The sequence below is a fragment of the Homo sapiens genome, chromosome 2 (genome assembly GCF_000001405.40).
Source record: "Homo sapiens chromosome 2, GRCh38.p14 Primary Assembly".
Lineage (NCBI taxonomy): Eukaryota > Metazoa > Chordata > Mammalia > Primates > Hominidae > Homo > Homo sapiens.
This window is the reverse complement of record NC_000002.12, coordinates 213,186,441-213,207,242: the sequence shown is the minus strand read 5'-3', so window position 1 is coordinate 213,207,242 and position 20,802 is coordinate 213,186,441. Positions and strand designations below refer to the sequence as shown.

Here is a 20,802-nt window from a genome sequence, read left to right as displayed (position 1 = left end):
CATCAGATCTTGTGAGAACTCACTATCACAAGAACAAGATGGGGCAAACTGCCCCGATGATTCAATTATCTCCACCTGATCCCTCCCAAGACGTGGGAATTATGGGAACTACAATTGAAGATCAGATTTGGGTGGGGACACAGCCAAACCATATCAAGAGGTATATTATTTTTCTATACTTTTAATGTTTATTCTTAATATATAACACGTTTACTTGCTTAATAATGTTTAAAGGTAATCATTATACAGAGGGGATACTTAGTTCGTTTTTATTATTTCAAGCAATAGATTATTAGGTAGTTCTATATGTACTACACTTAAGCAGTCCTATATGTTCTGATACAGAACAATCTCTAATTATGGAGTTCAATAAGAAAATTCAAGGAACATTTGTGTGTGTGTGTAATATGTTACTTTTTTGCATAGATATATATACACACACATAACTATATGTGGAAATAAATGTATAGGAACAAAATATCTCTCTAAAAGTACACCTATGAAACTGGTAGCAGTGTTTCATTGGGAACAGTGTTTGCTTCTGGAGGGAAGAAATATGTGCATATGGGACCAGTGTAAGAAGGAAAATGCTTCTCACTGAATACCCTCTGTACACATTGAATTTTGTATAACATACATATATTACATTTACAAAAAAGGCAATAATAATTTTTTACGAGTTAATATTTCTTCTCCAGAATAATTCGGGGGACTTAAAATGTTTTAAGCTCAATTTTTCTTACTTTTACATCCTTCTTAGTATCTAATGTATCAGTTAGAGATTGCTGCTTATCTGCAAATCACAAAATCCCAGGAGCATTCAACAAGAAGCAATCATTTATCACTTTTTGGCTCAGCTGGGCTAGGCTAGACATGGCTGGACTGAACATTGGGTCCAAACTCTGCAATGGGTCCAGGTCTGTTTCCAATATCTCTCATCTTCCTTGAACTAGTGGTTACCTGAATCATACTCTTATTGCAGAAAGCTGAAGAGTAAGAACAAACGCAACAGATATGCACATTTCAAGCTTTTTTTCTCTCAGTACTTCTGTTAACATCCCATTGACCAAAGCAAGTTACAAATTCAAGTCCAATATTTATGAGTCAGAGAACTATATTCCTCCCATGGCTATGAAGGGTGGAGAGTGAGTGAATACTTGCTGAATAATAATCAAATCTATCACACCTGGTATTATAGCTCTTCTTTGCTTTGAAATATCCCCCAAATTAGTCTCTTTTCAACACTTGATATTTACTTTGATTTTTCTAAATCTTTACCAATCTATTTGCCCAGGATTGCTCCTTGCATTCTATTTTTTTTTTTACTTTATTCAATTTCCTTCTTAGTAAAATAAATATTTTAGTACAAAGCCTTTTCCTTGAATCCTTGAGTATTAAACTCTCACTGTATTTGTCTAGAACTATGTCTTGAATGATTACTTAGCTACAAAGCAGAAATGGCTAGAACTTAGACTTAAATAATTAGGTAGGTAGTTAATAGTACTAAAACATAACTTGAATTCATAACACTGCCAACTTCTTTGTGCGAAAGTTAGACGTAGGGAATGAATGAACCCTAGAACATGAAATAAACACATCTTGGTGTACTCAGACAAATCTGGGAACTTGAACCCTGTCAAATTTCTCCGAACCTCCCTTCCCAGCAGAAACACTCACTTCTCTCCTGTCTGAGAAGACAACCATTATTTTGTTTCTAGGCTTTAGTAACATCACTAGAGTAGTTACTTTGCAAAATAAAGCCCATTCTTCTCAACACTTACCTTCCAATAGTCTTCATTGCCTCCAGACCTATAACTAGAGGCAAATCCAAGCATGCCCCAGGGGAAAGTACAAAGTGTAACCACACCTAATAATGTCTGAAATTTTGCTAATTTATATTAACGAAGTTCTGAGGAATACAAATTCTAACAATGTCAGGCAAATGAAATGAAACAAAACACTGGACCAGACCGAAGTTATCAGTATAATTTATGTCTCAGAAATTCTGAGTGTAATGTACAAGCTTCAACAGCAGATTCTAAAAGTCAGATTTTTTTAATTTTTAATTTTAATTTTAATTTTTGCTTAACTGAAACTTGGATCCTTGACAGATTATGGTTAATGAGGGTGAGATTCTAGAACTTTTCTTTCATAATATAGAGGAAATAATTGAAAAGCTTAGGAAGATGGGATGTGGAAGTACATATGTTGTATGTGTCTTGCATACCCACCTTTCCGTGATTTCTCACAGGAGGGCCCAGAGCATGCTCCCTTCTTTAAGACATTGAGAAATGCAAGAGAGGAGATCAGTGGCATCTTTGAATAGCTCTGTAAAATCTGGCCTATGGAGGCCTTGGAAAATGGTGTAAATGCCATCACTGTAATGTACTTCCTGATTTCAAAGGGTATAGTGGGATCTCGAAGTGCCAGATAGGTACAAATGCCTCAGAGAAAGCAAAGATACAGATTGGGTGGCCAACACCAGACATGCATCTTATATTTCAAGACCCCTGAGAGTTTTCTTAACAAGGTACCATGACCCCAATACACACACACAGTCTGATTCTCGCTATTAAGATGGCATTCTTGACCCTGTTACTGATGTGAAAAATACCTCAAAGGAAATATTGAGACAATTTGGCAACTTGTAATAAGATCTTAAGTGGTACCCTCTCTGTTGCCCCAAAACTGGTAACGAGGACCCAAAATTTAGGGGAAAAAAGCCTTAAGTAACCTTATTCTCTAAATATCATAGCAATAATTGAGTCCATTGTAAGAACTAGATACCCATTTTGAAGATAAGAGGCAGCTGAACCAGCAATCCTCTCTCTTCTCCCCAACTGTTATCCCTGCTGCATCCTGCCTCATGATCTGTATAAACAGAAAACACAGGAGGATTGAAGCGTGGTGGCTTTCATGTATCCTCCCCCACCATAGGTGGAAGAAGACAGTGGGATGGGAGGGGCGTTTACCTTCCCAAAGGCCAACAAGAGAGGAATTCAAGAAAAATCACTCATGCAAAATTAGAAATACTTGCTGGAAGTAGAAAGTGACATCTTAACCAGTTTAGTCAATGGATTTGTTGTTTTTCCCTGAGCCTACCAGAATCAAGAAAAAATATTATTGGAAAATAATAATAATAGGTTAGAGACAAGGAGGCAACATATCAGCCAGCTTTTCATTTCATTTCTTTTCTTTTCTTTTTTCTTTTTTTTTTTTAACTGTTTTTCATGGCAGGGATGCCTAAATTTCCTGAATCAAGAAACACAAATAGAAGATAGCCAGGTTCGAACTATCTTACTGGTGTATAAGAAAACCTGCCAGATGGGGGGACTATTAGCTGAAAGCGGTCATAGGGGATAAACATGGGCACTGATCAATGTCAGTGCAAGGAGCTCCAGAAGGATGGAAACTTCTCCAAATGTCATTAACACTTAGCAAAGTTTTGACCATTAGTTGAAAGCAGTGATTCAAAAAGAAAACTTTTTTCTTTTTTTAATGTTTGTGCCAAATTGACTTCAGAAGCTTCTGCTAATACATTGTAAGTCTATAGAATGTTGAAAGTGAGTGAGATAGAAAAGAAGTAAAGAAGAGTCTGAGTATTCATATTTGAGTGATTTGGAGAATGATGATTCTCCTGACCAAAGGAGAGGGAGGGAGAGGCCTACTTAGGAGGGGACTGGAAAAAGTTGGGTTTTAGACATTTGACTTCAAGGAGTGCTGAGATATCTCCTAGTGGAAATATCCAGAAAGTAATTGGAAATGTACTTTTAAAAGGGGTAAAAAAGAGGTCAAGAAGGACAGATATGGTAGACATTCAGAAAGAGATGATCACCAAAAATATAAAAGAGAATAAAATCTTCATGGTAAGGTGCTCATTAAGCACACACAGACATCTCTCCAAGTCATAATACAGGGTTCCTTTTGTCTCCTTTAGGACATAACAGAAAATTAAAATATTTAAATAATGCATTAATGATGGAAAAATCAAAACAGAGTGGCCTGTACCCTTTAGCTATTCTGATTACTTCATTAATGAAACAATAAACTATTAATGTTTGATGATGGGTATTGTGTTCATAATAAAATCTCCCGCTTGTTATGAAAAGGACATGCCTTTCTTTTCAAGAAAGCCAAACTTTGTTGAAAGATCCTGTCACTTGATAACTCCAGTTTTGCTATTTAAACAGCCTGGATTTGTCCTTAATGACCAGACAAAGGTCTATCACTGTAAAATTAGGCAAGTCAAACTTTTAACTTTTGGAAAGTTCAAGTTAACTTCCCGAGAACCATGCTTCACAGGACTGAGGGGACAAAATGGATAAGGGCCTAATTTCCTAGACATATAATTTCTCTCCACCAAAGATGTTGTATTTATTTTCTTCTGTAAATTTGGCTTATATGACTTGAACTTCATTCATAAAAACTAAAAAAGATTAGGGTGTCCATTCCAAACAGGACAAGTGTGTGCATCTGGATGTTCATGAGATTTAACAAAGCATGCCCTAATGTGAATAAAGAAAAAAAAATCATCTTTAGTCTGAAAGCATGGGTGTTTTCCCCCCTGTGGCACTTTATGACACTTGGCAGCTCATTATCACACTTCACAGAGTCTCGTGTCAGCGTGTCAGATTTCTCTAAATTTTGACAGAATTAAAGTAGTGCCGTTTGATATAATTGATATTGTACAGTTAATCAGGCAGTGGCTCCATCACAGAGTAACATTCTCAAAAGGCTTAATTACTGAACTGTGAAGATTTACTGCCATCTGGAAGTTCCTTCCCAAAGTTCTGTTCCTGAATTTTATGTAGAGTTCACAAAAATAACTTGGTCCATTTAGAAATCATGCCCTCGATTTGGAAATTAAAATTGTTATTTTTGGAATCTCATTTGGCCTAGAGATCATAGAAGCCTTATGAAAAATAAAGGAGCAATGGCAAATGAGAAAAAAGGAAAGAAAAGTGGAAGCTCTGGAAATTATTTTCTTTATGTAACGTTTAAAAGGGCAGACACTGGAGCCAGATGGCTTGATTTCAAACCCCATTTCTGCTACTTACTAATCATGTGACCTTGGGCAAGTTAGTTAAACTGTCTGTAAAATAAGGATATGAATAGTGCCTACATGATAGCATTAGAGTCACAATTAAACGTATTAACAATTGAAAAGTAATCAGAACTGTGCCTGGCACGCTGTAAGAGCAATGTTAAGTGTTTGCTGTCATTATTATTAAGGCTTTTAAATTACTTTGTCCTCAAGATTGTTCTCACTTTAAGAGACAAACATATCATTTGAAAAACTTCTCCTGAGATAGTAAACTTCTTGTGACTGAAGACTAATAAATTAAGTGTAAAGCAGCACCATCATTTGTCAGGAATCTTATAGCTGGGGTTTCTTTTGAGTAAAAGGTTGAATTGGATTCCCTCTAAATTCATCCTAATCTAAGAGTTTTTGATTTTATAGACTCTGTAAAATCAATTATAAGAAATAAGGTAACTGATAAGAAATTTCAGAAATAGAGGCTTTAATCCAGAAGAAACATTTATTCATCATCTTCTATTCTGTGAATCAATACCTATAAAGAAGGAGGAGGAGGGGGGAGGAAAAGGAGGAGGAAGAGAGAAGAGGAAGGAGAAAAAAAGGAAGAATCAGTGTTATGATGGGAGTTCTCTATTGGTAGGAAGGTAGAAATAATCCCTAGAGAGGAAATGATGTCTTTTATAGCCTGAGTAGAACCCCAGTAGAATATAGTGAGACATACAGAAAAAAAGAAAAGATAAAAAGAGGTATATAAAATTTATTCATTCCCAATAATGAGGAAAATATTGATTTAGACAAAAAAGAATTGGTTTTATAAAATCAGGTCATATATTGACAATATCGCCAGATTTGTCCATTTAAAATGCACTGTGAATATTTTGGTATCATTATATATTCTTCTATTGTATTATTATTATTATTTTGGTTAGGGATTCATAGTGTTTCATTGAACAGACATACCACAACTTATTTAACAAATCCTGAATTGATGAAAATTTGCATCATTTTTATTAGTTTAGTGAGATGAATGTTCTTATGACTATAATACCGGACACCTTTTAAGTACTCCTTTAGATCCTCTTGACCTTACATGTCTTTATTTCAGACACTTTGTGACAATCAATACTGCAAAAGCTCTGACCAGCTTCTTGGCTCAGGCACCTATGATTAACCTCTTTCCCCTCATCCCAGGAATTCTCCATTGACTCAAAGACATTAGATTCTAGGGAACCAGTAGGTGTCCACAGCCCATGGGGTGGAACTTTGACCAATGGGAATGAAAACTGAGCGATACATGCTTATTACCTTTCTCTCCTGGGATGGACAGACCTGATATGCATTTTATATGGTTTCTCAGATGGTCCCACTGGATTTAGCAACATATGCATAAAGCCCTTGTTTCAGGTTCTTCTCTCTGGGGAAAACAGATCATGAAAGATGGTACCAGGAATAGCCTTGGAAAGCAGACCCTCAGAAAAGGGTTTTGAAGCTGGATTACTTAATGGTTAGACATTAATAAGAACTCCCTCCTCCCCTACTGGTGGTAAGAACCTCTGTTATTCAATAGCATCACAATTATTAAGACTTTCTCCTTCAGCTGATTAATATGAGGTATAGGTAGAAGGTGAGACATCTGAATGGTATGGGAGCCATGATAACTAGAGTGATTATAAGGATTTTGGTATAGGCTAGTTTTTGTTAAGTGTGTTGGAAGCCTTGAAAAAAAAGAAAATGAAGTCTCAGAAGAGCCAATCATCAAGGCTAAACAAACTGTGAAACCCAGAGGGCCTATGTGGAAGCTTTGAAGGAGAAAGTCATCTCCTTCAGCTACAGGGCAGAGTTGACTGAAAATTGGGTTTGGAACACAATCATAAGAATGGCAGAGCTTAAACTGGATTAAGATGCAGCATCTGGATAGATCTTCTAGATCAGAGTCAGATGCCATATAGGTAAAGGGTTGGACTTGAGAACTGAAATGAGGACTTTAGGGTGGACAAGCCCAAGAATCACAAACTCCAACATTCTCCTGAATCTTTCATTTTGCTGAAGTAGGCTCTTTGCCAGAAGAGAGGAGGTTCCCTTGCATGGAGAACTTGCAATGACCTCATCTGAGGCTAGTGCCTTGCAAGATGATGCAAGACTTACCCTTGAAATACCTCATTGCCTCCAGGCCAATGACCAAGGTCAAATCTCTGAATAATTACTATGTGCAGTCTCTGCTCTTGGAAGAAATACCTTAAATAGCATGGAATTGCAAGAACTAACTAATAGTATTAGCAGGATTTAGGAGGCCATGTATGAATGGACAGTTAGTGTAGATAATGAGAATGTTGGAATAAAAGTCTAGATAGGGGAGAATTTTTTGATCTGGGATTTCTCAACTATAACTCAGGATTCAATGCCATGTCAGAACTTATGGACATGATCCTAATACTCTTCTGGGATGACTCCTTGAAACTTGACCTAGAGCAAAAGAGATAATTGTAGAAGCCGGAACTTCTTGGAATAGATTGAGAAAGTGGTCCAAAGGTTCATGGAGGTGGGACTGTAAGAATGGATATTTACTATGAGTCCAGAGAATGCATGTGATGATTATATTTTTCAAAGATAGCCACAACATCATATCTTACCTCACAAGTTATTCTACAAACTTACCACTCTCTCATCAAGAAGTGGAGTCTAATTCTTCTCCCATTGCTGGCATTTGCCTATTTCTATTAATAGAACGCAGAAGAATTGACGCTATAAGATTTCTGAGGTTAGGTCACTGGCTGATCTACTATAGAGATGACATCACATTAATTGGACCAGGTGAGCAGCAAATGGCAAGTGACTTGGACTTCTTAGAAAGAACCATGGATTGGGAGGCCGAGGCGGGCGGATCACGAGGTCAGGAGATCGAGACCATCCTGGCTAACACGGTGAAACCCCGTCTCTACTAAAAATACAAAAAATTAGCCGGGCGTGGTAGCGGGCGCCTGTAGTCCCAGCTACTCGGGAGGCTGAGGCAGGAGAATGGCGTGAACCCGGGAGGCGGAGCTTGCAGTGAGCCGAGATCGCGCCACTGCACTCTAGCCTGGGCGACAGAGCGAGACTCCGTCTCAAAAAAAAAAAAAAAAAAAGAAAGAACCATGGATGTCAAAGGTTGCCAAAAAAACTCCACAAAAATTCAGAAGGCTACCACATCAGTAAAGTTTGTAGGGGCCCATTGACCTGGGCATGGTGGAGCATCCTCTTGAAATAAAGATATGAACATGTGGCCCAGACACTCCATCTCAACCACTCTGTTGTACCAATACCCTTTATCGTTAGGTTAGAGTGATATTTTAGGGTTAGTTAAGAATGCACTGGTGCTGCATTATAGCATGGCTTGGGGATGACCCAAATTTCCCAGTGGTAAAGGGAAATTATCCAAACGGGAAGGCTGTGAATGGTACATTTGGCATTCAATTCATATGGAAGGAAAAGAGATCTAGGATAAGGATATATATATGGAGCCCTAAGCATTGGCAAATGGCGAGGCTGGTTTTTGGTGATCTAAAAAGAACAAGATTATAAAACCAATGACAAATCTGTGAAAAAGGTATGTGATTGGACCTGTCACACTGGGCACAAAGCATGAGGATTTGTGTCTAACACCTGTGCATACCAGAGCATATCCACTACAAAGAACAGTATGACTTTTCCTGTGGATGTCAACTGACCGACTCTCTCTTCTTAGCCATAGTAGTGCAAAAATGATAATTGTCATGGTGGAGTCTGTACATGCACTCAACCGTATAGCCTCCCTCTCAGCAAGGATGAGGATAACTACTGCCACTGCTGAATGATCAACCTGCCAGCAGCAGACATCAACACTTGATACAGCATCATTCTTTGGGGAGATAAGAAAGCCATTCTTGATAGGTTGATTACATTGGATCTCCTCCATTCTGGGGGCCAAGTGCTGGCCAAGAGTAAGGAAAATCTTGAATTGATATTGAAGGAGGCAAACCGTAAATAGTAATTACAATCTCAGGAGCAGCTGTATCTGTGGAGATGGTAGGTTTCTGTTTTGTTTTGCTTTTATTTCTCACTCATCATCTTATGTTAAGTCTTTGCAGAGACTGTGGCTGTCCTCCATCTTGAAGGAGACTCTGGCACATTTGACTTGTACCTCTCCTCTTTCAGGGAAGAAGTGAAGGAAACTTATTCTGACCAAAAATGAAGGCTCCATTACATAGTAAGGGAGATGCACGCAAATGAGGGACACAAACCGATCATTGTGTTGCAAGGGATGGACTTTATTGGATACCTCATATGCACCACTTCAGATCCTCTCAGTCTTGTATTTCAGACACCTCAAGGGCATTGATGCATTCTAGACATGTGCAAACTGACAGCACCTCACATCAGACTCAGAATGACCCTCAAGCAGACACGTGGGATACTGTGAAGTGAGGGATAGGGAGGAGCTGTTCCTGTGTAACCAGGAAATGTACTAACTTTTGTCCAATGGGGATGAGAAGAGGTACATAAATGTGCCCCTTTCTCCTTCAGATGGAAAGCCTGAGACACATTTCCTATGACTTCCTGGACCATCCTGCAATAACAGGCAACCTCTTGCCTATGATGGTGACTGAAGTGATAATGCACCCTTTCTGGCTCTCTCCTTCCTCATTTTGCTTCCCTGTCCTAGTGCTTGCTCCTTGGGGTTGACATTCCAATATAGGACTCACCCATGTGGCTTCGTTTCAGGTTTGGCTTTTGGAGGACACAGGCTAAGAAACTAAATTTCTTCACAAATGTATGTTTCTTAGGATAAATTCCCTAGATCTGGAATTGCTGAGTCAAAGCACATTTTTAAGGCTTTGATGCATATTGCCAAAATTGCTCTCCAGAAAGATTTTGCAGTTCCCTCTCATGTGTTTGCTATCATGAGGAATATATAAAGTGGCCATTTCCCCACATACTCGTTAATGATTGGTGTCATTTTTTTACTGTTCTTTAATTCAGGATGTTTTAAAATGGTGTAATCTTGTGGTAATATTTATAATTCTGCATAAGAATGAATTTGAACTTTATTCAGTATGCTTATTGCCCACTTGTTTATATTTAGAAAAGTTTATATGCTTGGTCATTGTTATATCCAGTTTTCATGTAATTTCAAAAGATCTTTTTAAATTAAAGTTATGAATAAACCCATTATCTTTCCTACATGTTGAATGTGTTTTTCCAGTTGTTTGCCTTTTAATTTTGCTTATGATGTTTTTAGACATACAAAAACATATTATTGTTGCTGTTGTTTTGGAGATCTGACCCATAAAGCTGGCTCTTTCTACATGAGAATCATATTATTTTATTATGATAGTGGTATGGTCATTATATTTTAATATAATGCAGGCTTCCAATATGCTTTGTTCATTTTAAGAAATATTGATGGCTATTCTTATACAGTTACGGTCATCTGATATGCTTTGTTTGTTTTAAGAAATATTCAAGGCTATTCTTATACAGTCATCCTTTTTTAAATCCCATTAGTTTGTTGAAGTTTAGCAATTACTTTGGATATCTGACATAAGTGTTCACATGTCATTTTCATTTTGACTTATTTACATTGTGAATTATAGAAATATATCTCCAGATTAAATAACATTTTAATCTCTTGTATAAGCCCAACAGAGTCTCTTTCTATTTCTACTGCTGCTACTTTCGTTTGGAACTTTAGCATCTTGTTTATTTGGAATTTTAATATCTGGTTTATTACACTATCATCTCTAAAAGGCTGAATACCCACAATGCCCCCTCTCCAAACCATTCAAATAGTCAAATATGATGTGTCTGATGTGTTTTTCTGGTTCTTGATATTCTTCAGTGTGAGGTCCATTTAATATAGCACCCAAGGGTCTTCATTATCTAGCCTTTTCGATATCTCTGGTACCTCATCCCTTGCCATTTCTCCTGCACTTTCCAACCCCAACTCCAAGTGTTGTTCCCAGGATGGGCAATATAGCCTGTCTCTGGTGCCATGCCCAGGCTGCTCTGCAAACACTATCACATCCTTTTACTGCTCATCTTTACCTGTCTAATATCTATTTATGATACTTGACTCAGGCCTCACCTTCTCTGAGATGCCTTTCTTGACCCCATTTTGCATGTGTTTTCTTTCATATGTACTCTCTGTACACCTCATATTTACTGCTATCTTTACAATGCTCATACTCCGTAGCCACTGTTAATGAATCTTTAAAGTCTGTCATATAATAAAAAATCAGTTGAGGCCTGGCACAGAGGTTCACACATGTCATCCCAACACTTTGGGAGGCTGAGGATCACTTGAGATTATCCTAGGCAATGTAGTGAAACCCCGTGTCTACAAAAAATACAAAAATAAGCCGGGTGTGGTGGTGCGCACCTGTAGTCCCAGCTACTTGAGATGCTCAGGTGGGAGGATCACTTGAGCCTGGGAGGCTGAGGCTGCAGTGAGCAGTGATTGTGCCACTGTGCTCCAGTCTGGGTGACAGAAGAAAAATCTTGTCTCAAAAAAAAAAAATAATAATAAAAGGTCAGTTAATACATGGTGATAGATGGAATGAATAACTCAGCATCCACACATAAAAAATGAGGATAATATTTCAAATGAACATTATATAATCCTAAAATCAGATAAATATATGAGAGGGCTTTAAACACTGTAAATTGGTATATAAATACAAAGTGAGAACCAAAGAGGAAAAGTTATATTCCCAAATGATTGGAGTAATGGAGCTTTTACTTCATAGATTGAAGAAGAAAATGTAGTGATTTACATATTGAATTCTGTTTAACCCAGTGATACTCAGGAACAACTTTGAGTTTTTAAATATTTCATTTGGGATTTTTTTCATTGGTACTTGGAAATGTGCTTATGATACATAATCACAGTTATTTCTACCTAACCTTTATATTTTGTGACATTCTCAAGTTTAAAATTTTTCTTTTGTTAAAAGGTTATATTTTACCCTTTTTATAAAGCAGTTTTATCAACTATCTTAAAGGAAGAAATCATAATTTTTTTTTACAGTCTAAAAATTGTAGATATCTATATTCACTTGAGAATGCCTTTAAAGGGCAAGTGTGCATCCTAAATAACAAGTTAGGTATATTAAATGAGTATAGTAAAAGTCAGAAAGACCAATCATAAATGTCTAAAGTTGCTGACATTCTTACCACATAAAAAAAGAGCATTCAGTGGAAAGCTTTTTAAGTGACTCATTAAAAAGCAGTTTATAAATGGATTCGGAAACTGTGATCTTCTGTAACTTAAAGACAAATTTTTATGTTAAAAAATGTACCAAACTGATCTATGAAGGCCATTCCATTTAAATGTTTTTATTTAAAAATATGTTTAGCTAGGTGCAGTGGCTCATGCCTGTAATCCCAACTACTTGGAAACCTGAGGCGGGAGGATCACTTAAGCCCAGGAGTTTGAGTCCAGCCTGGGCAGCATAGCAAGACCTCATTTCAGATATATATAAATGTATATCTTAATATATATACCTTTACATATGTATATTTTTATATATCTTTATATACCTTTATATATAATATTTATATACCTTTATAAGTATATATATATTTATCAGTTTATCAGTTTTGAAACTGATATACATATTAGGAATAGACTTCCACTTTAAGAGATACATATAAAGATATATAAAGATACATAAATATATATAAATGTATCTCTTTACATTTGTCTTAATATAATATAAATTTTATTTTATAATTTTCAGTTATTTTAATGCAAAATGGTTGTAATAAATTTACCAGCGGTGAGGTTTATTTAAACACTAATATGTATCTTAAGAAATAGGCAGAGTAATCTGAATCTTGTGCTCATTTAACTCATATTCAATTTATTGACTAAACGTATATCTAAATATTCACAAAATTTTTGTAAGTGCTCACTTCCAATTTTATTCAATTATAATCTAAAAGTATGCATGTTTTAGCATATTAAATTATTTTTGGATTGCTTAAATTACTGTTCTAATTCTGCATCCTTTTTAATTTCTTAATACTGACACTTAAAAAGCCAACATTGCTTTGATTTCTCCTGAATACTTTTACTAATTTTAAATCTATATAAAATATATTTAAAGACAACTTTTTTCTTTCTTAAAAGTAATATAAATATATAATGGAAATTTTCAGTACAGTGCTTGACTCATAATATCATGAATTAAATAACACATTCCATAAAAAAAAGCACTTCTGTTGGATGTTTGTTAGGGAAAAAAAATGGCAGTAGTTGCCTTTAAGAAGCGTTTGAATACAAAACTTCCCTTGTACTTAGCAATTTTCACCTTTAAAACATTTTTTCCATTTTTTGTTTGTTTTTATTCTTCCGGCTTCCAGGGCTGGAAGTTCACCTTCCACAGAGCCTATACTCCCTTCGCACTTCATTCTCTCTCTTACAAAGTTCTCAGCTCTTTCTTTCTGTACCCTTAGTGCCAAAACTCTTCATTCAACAGATACAAAAGCAAAGTGAAGGTGAGGCTCCATACCTGCATATACCATGTTTATAAAGGAAAACAAAACAGATGGGATGGTATGGAGTAGGACATGTGACCAAAATCCAATAATCATCCCTTACTTGTTGATATTGTTCTTGACACTAAATGCTAAAGTCATACATGTTGGTGCTTAAATGGACTCATGATAAATGAAAATATATTTTTTCATCTTTTGGCACTAGGCTTGTTGAAAGTTGTGCAGTATGCTGTTTCACTCCCATTTGAAATGCCAGCCTAGAATTTTTAGCATCATGAGTATGTTGTGGGATCAACACAACAGACTGAGTATTGAGTTTGTAAAAATTGAACTTTGCGTATTTTAAAATACACTTTTTACTTGGTAGGAAGTAAAAAGACAAAAAATAAAATTAAAAAAATCACATCATATTAGGTATAATACAGATTGTCAGCAAAGAACTTCCTATGCCATAAGTAGTATGAACATATTTAATCTTTTAAATATGTCCATTAAAGTGTCCATTAAAAAATTAAATGTCTATTTTAAAAAACTAAACAATTCAGAAGCAATGCTTTATGTAGTGAGAAAACAATACTTCATGCATAATGAAAGAGAGAAATTACTTAAAACTTTCTTTAATCCTAAATTGTTTATCAGTTTTGAAACTCTGCACATAGTAGGGATAGACTTCCACTTTAAGAGATACATTTTGGGGACAAAATTTTAGTTTGGCAGGGTGTTCCTCTTCCACTATCCACATGTTTCTTAAACTCTTTTTCGTCAAGTGTCGAGGGGCCCTTCTTACTTACGACATTCCATCTTCAGACAGCTTAAAACTTTCCCAGGAAAGCTCTAAGTCCATGTTTCCCAAATGTTTAAGCTGATAGATATTATAAGACTTCTTTTCCTCTATTTTCTGAGCCCCCTCATCAAGCAAATGTATTTTATCTATTCCCATTTTATGTTATTTTTTAAATATGTATTTCTATATATGGAATATGCTTTTCATTTCTACAAATGGTTGTTTTTAAAAATGAAAATAGCTTGCCTTTCTGATTAGCAAAATATTCTATGCTCAGTGTAAGTAATTCAGATCATATATTACTACTTTTCATCATGTATACTTCTATTTATATTTTTTACATAAATGGGAACATACTATAATTTATTTTTTTCACTTAACATAACATGTTAAAGATTCTAGGTCCATTCCCGGAAAACTGATTTACTATGTATTTCCCTAATGACTAAAAAGTATTCTACTGGGTAACTGGTATCTTAATTGGCTGATCTAATCCCCTATTTACTAACACCAAATTTGTTTCCTATTTTCATTATCTGATACAATTTTACATTCTTGCACATATATTTTTACTCACCCGTTGGACTACTCCTTTAGGATACAAATCTAAGAAATGGAGAGGAAACACATTCTTTTAGTATGTTACAAAACCCAAATTGCCCTGCACAGTATTTATATCCATGTTCTGTCCCACCAACAGTGTGGGAGAGTACTTATACTGCCCTGTATCCCCATAATCTTACTTATGCTAAGACATCAATTTTTTAAAAATCAAATCAATAAAAAATGAGATTTGTATTATTTTAAACACCTTTGATTTCTAGTAAGATCAATGACTGGTCTGTCTTTGAGGTGATACTTAGAAAATACTTCCTGTTACAGACTGAATTGCATCCCCCAAAATGTGTATGTTGAAAGCTGAATGCCAGTGTGGCTTATTTAAAGATAGGGGCTTTAAAGAGGTAATTACAGTTAAACGAAGTCTTAAGGGTGAGGCCCTAATCCAGTGACTGGTGTCCTTATAAGAAGAGGAAGAGCCACCAGGAATGCATATGCTCAGGGAAAAGGCCACCTGAAGACATAGGGAGAAGGTAAAAGGCCTCAGGAGAAACCAACCCTGCTGACACCTTGACCTTGGACTTCCAGCCTCCAGAACTGAGAAAATAAATTTCTGTTAAGCCACAGGTTTTTTTTTATATTAATAGCAGACCTGGCAGACTAATACACTTCCCCATTTCAAGATTGTAGCATCGTTAATCTGAATTTTCTCCTCATATTTTATAATCTTATTCTTTTCATTCAAATCTCTGTTCTGTTTTGTTTTGTTTTGTTTTTCTTAAAGACAGGATCTGGGGCCGGGCGCGGTGGCTCACGCCTGTAATCCCAGCACTTTGGGAGGCCGAGGCGGGTGGATCATGAGGTCAGGAGATCGAGACCATCCTGGCTAACAAGGTGAAACCCCGTCTCTACTAAAAATACAAAAAAAAATTAGCCGGGCGCGGTGGCGGGCGCCTGTAGTCCCAGCTACTCGGGAGGCTGAGGCAGGAGAATGGCGTGAACCCGGGAAGCGGAGCTTGCAGTGAGCCGAGATTGTGCCACTGCAGTCCGCAGTCTGACCTGGGCGACAGAGCGAGACTCCGTCTCAAAAAAAAAAAAAAACAAAGACAGGATCTGGCTCTGCTGCCCAGGCTCTAGTCTAGTGGGTGATTATAACTCATTGCAGCCTAGAACTCCTGGGCTCAAGGGATCCTTCCTCCTCAGCCTCTCAAGTACCTAGGACTACAGACGGCACCATCCCCCTGGCAAATTAAAAAAAAAAATTTTTGTAGACACAGGGTCTTGCTATGTTACCCAGACTAGTCTTGAACTCCTGGCCTCAAGTGATCCTCCTACCTTGGCCTCCCAAAGTGCTGGCTTTTCTGGTTTACAGGTGTGAGCCACCGTGCCCAGCCTTAAATTTCAAAATATAATTAAGTGGGAGGCAGGGTTCTCTTATATTTTTGCAAACACTAGCCATTTGTTCCAAAACATTTTTTTGGAAAACCCATTCAGTACATTGATTTGAAATATCACCTCTAAATTCCCAGGGACTTACAGCTATGTTTGCTTCTTTACTTTTTAATCTCTTCCATTGATCTGCCTGTTTACTCCGATGCTGTTACTCAAACACTATCACAGTTTCAATTGTCACACCTTAAAAATATGGCTTAAGGCCAGGCGCGGTGGCTCACGCCTGTAATCCCAGCACTTTGGGAGGCCGAGGCGGGCGGATCACGAGGTCAGGAGATGGAGAACATCTTGGCTAACGCGGTGAAACCCCGTCTCTACTAAAAATACAAAAAATTAGCCGGGCGTGGTGGTGGGCGCCTGTAGTCCCAGCTACTCGGGAGGCTGAGGCAGGAGAATGGCGTGAACCCGGGAGGCGGAGCTTGCAGTGAGCCAAGATCGCGCCACTGCACTCTAGCCTGGGCGACAGAGCGAGACTCTGCCTCAAAAAAAAAAAAAAAAAAAAAAAAAAGGTTTACTACACCACAGGCAAATTCCTACTTGTTTCTCTTTTTTTCTCAGAATGTTTCTGGATATTCCTACATTTAGTCTTCCAAATAAATGAGAGTTATGTTGTCATGTCAAATACAAAATGGATCTCTGTGTTATACTTACAAATAGTTTGCAGAAAATTTACATCTTTACAGTATCTGTCTTTCCAAAAAGACATGTCATGACTCTCCATTCATTCTATTAGTTTAGGCCCTTCATTTCGTTGGTTGGTTTGTGTTTTTTCCTTCATACAGGTTGTGTATATTTTTTGTTAAATTTATTCTTAGCATCCTTTGTATCGGGCCTGGACTTTGCAGAGGAAGATAAGATGCCCTGCTGTGTTGGTTTAAGCCTGAAACTCATCCCTCCTTCTAAGGCTTGGCTTATTTCTAAAAACACCATTCTCGAACTTTGATAGGCTTCCAATCAATTTTGTTCTTGCGAACTCCATGGTTTAAAATACAGAACCAGAAATCTTGAAATGAGAGGCTTCTCCCCGCATCGCTACATCCACCTTGTCACTGATTCTCAATAGCTGCAAACGTGACCCGAGAAAGCTTTAGTCGCTTAGCAACAAATGGGACTAGCTCCTCCCCTCCCCATTCTTCTAGAAAGAAAGGCTTAAGCCTCAAGGCCCTGAAGGGAAATATCAGTCAGAACTCACAGTAAAGGATCTTTCTTCCTTAATCTGCCTTTGCTTATTTCCAAAAGCCAGCGCTGCATTCCAAGCTTTGGTCACAGGATGGACTTAAAAAGGGATGTCTCCTCACGTGTGGGAGGGAGCTTGCATTGGTAACTGCCTCAGAGAGGCTCGAGTGCCAAGAATTCTCAGCTCCCCATCCTGCAGGATAACCTTATTCACTGTCAGGATCCCAACCTTATCCTTAGAAACATAGCTTAGTAGAAGACTCTACTGCTGTCATTGAGGGCTCTGAGGGCCGAAATCAGGGGCAGAGACGGCTTCCTCTGCACAGATACCTAACACCTTTGCAGATCCGGGTCTGTTTCCCACCAGGCAGCCCAGGGCAAGCTTGAGTTCCTGTGTTCCTTTTCCCGCTGTACTTCATTTAAGGCTACAAAGAGTTACTGATTCACACTTCCGTTCAGCTCATTTATTTAATTACCCAAATTAAAAAAAAATTTGATCCTCACCAGAGCCTTTTTCTGCCGGGACATAAAGCACAGCGTGACTGTCCTTGGTCAGGTGTCTGTCCTTGATCCAATCAGCTGTAGCCAGAGGTGGGGTAGAGTCAGAGGAAAAAGAATGTGGCCTTTATTCCTGTCTTTGGATACTATTACAAGGAGAGAATGTGACTAGGCAATAGTGATTAGCGTTTCTAGCATAATGTCCTTTGCTATTACCTTTTGAGTTGCATTATTTCAGCTCTCTTTTACATATCATATGGACGACTTTTGATGTCATTGGAGTTTTTGTCTATTAAATAAGTTGTTTAATCTCACTTTTATGTAGATTTAGTAATAGCGATATTTAATTTAATAACAAAGTAAATGTATTAAATGACTTAATTTAATAAAAGCAATCAGCATTTACAGAACTCTTGGTATGTGCCAGGTATTGCCATAATCCCTTGTTATATAAATAACATATTATCTTTTAATTCTTACATGCATGTTATTATCCCCATTTTATAGATGAGAAAACTGAGGCACAAACAGGTCAAGAAACTTGCTCGGTAGCACATACCAAGTAAGTAAACAGTGCACTAGGACTGGAACCTGGGCTAACTGCTTGCAGAGTGCAAGCTTTCCCCGCTCACCTTAGTTTCAGTCTTCTGTTATTTATGCTGTTTCTTCAACTTTTAATGTTTTGCCTCCTGTGGTCTCCTTGATACTGTTCCTGTCCACTTCAGACCTCCCCTCTTCAGATTAGGGTTCTCCCTTCCTTCATCTGAGGGAACTTGGTAACTACGAAAATGTCAGATCAGAGAAGCAAAGTGAGGAGGGGCAGAGTGCTCACTTTACATTCCAGAGATGCCAGCATGGCCTAGGAATGTTGTTGAACTCTGGTGGGAAAGAGGCTCAAGGCCCCGTCATTCCTCAGAGCCTGCCTGCAGCGCCAACCTTTGTCTCTCTAATATTAGGATTTCCCAGAATTTCCTCACTTTCCTATAAGTCTGTGCTACCCTGGAAAAAAAAAATGGTATATGGGTTCTAAATGCTGCCATATTTGGAAGAACTTCTTTAAGATTTGTGGTCTGTGTTTGGTATCATTCCCGACATCAGTATTACTCCCCTGTGCACCCTGCATCCCACTGCACTGTACCTGTCATTGATTTACTTCCAATCAAAGAAGTACATTTTTGTTCGGGGGTGGAATATGTGCCCTCATGCTGCCATCTTTCTGGAATTGTTAACTTCCTTTTGATTCATCCTACATTCCAACAACATGAGGAAAATTTTTCAGCTATCCACTATAGCCATTGAAACTAGGCCTAAATATTTTAAGAATAAACAACCAGCAAAAATTTATTGTTTCTGTACATAGGCTGCACTTAACTGGGGTGCATAAAAAGTAAATTTAAAGGAAACTAAAAATAATGATAATAATAAGCAGTAATGTTAATATTTTATGTAAGAAAATCATTTAGCATATGTCTCTAGTGTAAGTGAATAGCTATCTACCAGGAATCTAAATGTCATTATAAATGCTATTTATTTATAAAAGAAATCTTATTGAAACCAGGAAAAACATTAAAAGAACATTACCCTGCTACCTGGTACAAAGTTCATCAGTTTCTCGTTTGTAGTTTGTATTCTGGGATGTAGCAATGAATTAGATTCTGGATGTCTGACAAAATTTCACAGACTCGAGTAAAGTCAATGGAAGTTTTTCATGAGTCAGATCATGTTCCTTAAGTTATTTAAACCCGAAGTATGGATTTGGACTAATAGATGGATGAGAAATCAATTAAGGTCAAGCAGTTTATAATTAATGTCTAGGCCAATGAACATTGCAGAAAGCTCATTCCAAAAATTATGCCAAAGTAAGACAAAATAATTTTTCAAATAACTGAGAGAATGCTCATTGAGTCTTACATTTTATTGGGAAAGGTAAACAAAATGGAGCAGTAATGTCTCCTTTTAAAAGTAATTTAAAGTTCCCATGCTGGGATTATTACACATTGTACGCCTGTACCAAAATATCTCATGTACCCCGTAAATATAATATACCTACTATGTACCCACAAAAATTAAAAATGAAAGTAATTTAAAGATTAGCTGAAAAATCTTTATATTCCATGAGAATCATCTGTCACATCTTTCTTGAAATCTTACCAATAAAAGTAAAAATGTGTGTGTTTGTCTTTCATTAATATTCCACAAACTAGTATAAGAAAAAATTTCTGAAGTATTTTTTCTGCTACAGAAAAAAGTCTAAATATAATACCTACTAAAACTCATGAAATACAAAATCCTTTCTCACTGCCAGAGTCCTATAAGGGGGATGCAATATGATCAGAATTATTTCTGGTTTTGCAAACATCAATTATGAAAACCATTAGGATTGTGTTTTTACCAGTAACTGCTTACCACATATCTGGGAATTTGGTATACTTTTCACAAATGAGGGAGCTAATGCAGTTTTATGTTATAACTTACCTCAAAATAGTACCATACCTCTCAAGGCACATCCTAGGTCTTGGAGATACTGAGTGCCCCACAGGAAATTGTATCTATGCTCTGAGGGAAAAAGAAAAATATCACAAGACATGTAAACTCATGCAAAGGAAGGGGGTAGAGCAGAGAGAACAAAGAGAACAGAGAAAGGGATAAAAATTTTAAAAGAGGAAATTATGACTGCTATTTCACTACAAAGTAATGATTCTGGTTTTAATGTGAAAATTTTTATTGCTTTTTAGTTATACTACATACATCTTCTAGAAAAGAAAAAAAATCGTTTAAAAAA

At 37.0% G+C, this 20,802-nt stretch overlaps 1 long non-coding RNA gene across 4 annotated transcripts, besides 3 other annotated features; it reads right to left on the bottom strand.

The window, feature by feature from the left end:
* Positions 1-4,569: 4,569 nt before the first annotated feature.
* LOC107985981 (uncharacterized) lies at positions 4,570-18,804 on the bottom strand. 4 transcript variants are annotated; one of them, XR_007088069.1, is made up of 5 exons: positions 18,653-18,804; positions 18,027-18,101; positions 14,914-14,942; positions 6,344-7,752; positions 4,570-5,573 (listed from the first exon to the last, which is right to left on the bottom strand). It is a non-coding gene; the product is annotated as an uncharacterized LOC107985981 (long non-coding RNA). The 4 variants fall into 4 exon arrangements; XR_007088070.1 differs by lacking the exon at positions 4,570-5,573 and having other exon boundaries at positions 5,602-6,452; positions 7,694-7,752; XR_007088068.1 differs by lacking the exon at positions 4,570-5,573 and having other exon boundaries at positions 5,602-7,752.
* Positions 16,207-17,067: an enhancer, noted in NCBI's record as "H3K4me1 hESC enhancer chr2:214054900-214055760 (GRCh37/hg19 assembly coordinates)". NCBI's record gives its function as "activates a minimal SCP1, AML or CMV promoter by ChIP-STARR-seq in primed H9 embryonic stem cells {active_cell/tissue: H9 hESC(primed)}" and the evidence as "EXISTENCE:reporter gene assay evidence [ECO:0000049][PMID:30033119]".
* Positions 17,930-18,790: an enhancer, noted in NCBI's record as "OCT4-NANOG-H3K27ac hESC enhancer chr2:214053177-214054037 (GRCh37/hg19 assembly coordinates)". NCBI's record gives its function as "activates a minimal SCP1, AML or CMV promoter by ChIP-STARR-seq in naive and primed H9 embryonic stem cells {active_cell/tissue: H9 hESC(naive and primed)}" and the evidence as "EXISTENCE:reporter gene assay evidence [ECO:0000049][PMID:30033119]".
* Positions 18,791-19,653: an enhancer, noted in NCBI's record as "OCT4-NANOG-H3K27ac hESC enhancer chr2:214052314-214053176 (GRCh37/hg19 assembly coordinates)". NCBI's record gives its function as "activates a minimal SCP1, AML or CMV promoter by ChIP-STARR-seq in naive and primed H9 embryonic stem cells {active_cell/tissue: H9 hESC(naive and primed)}" and the evidence as "EXISTENCE:reporter gene assay evidence [ECO:0000049][PMID:30033119]".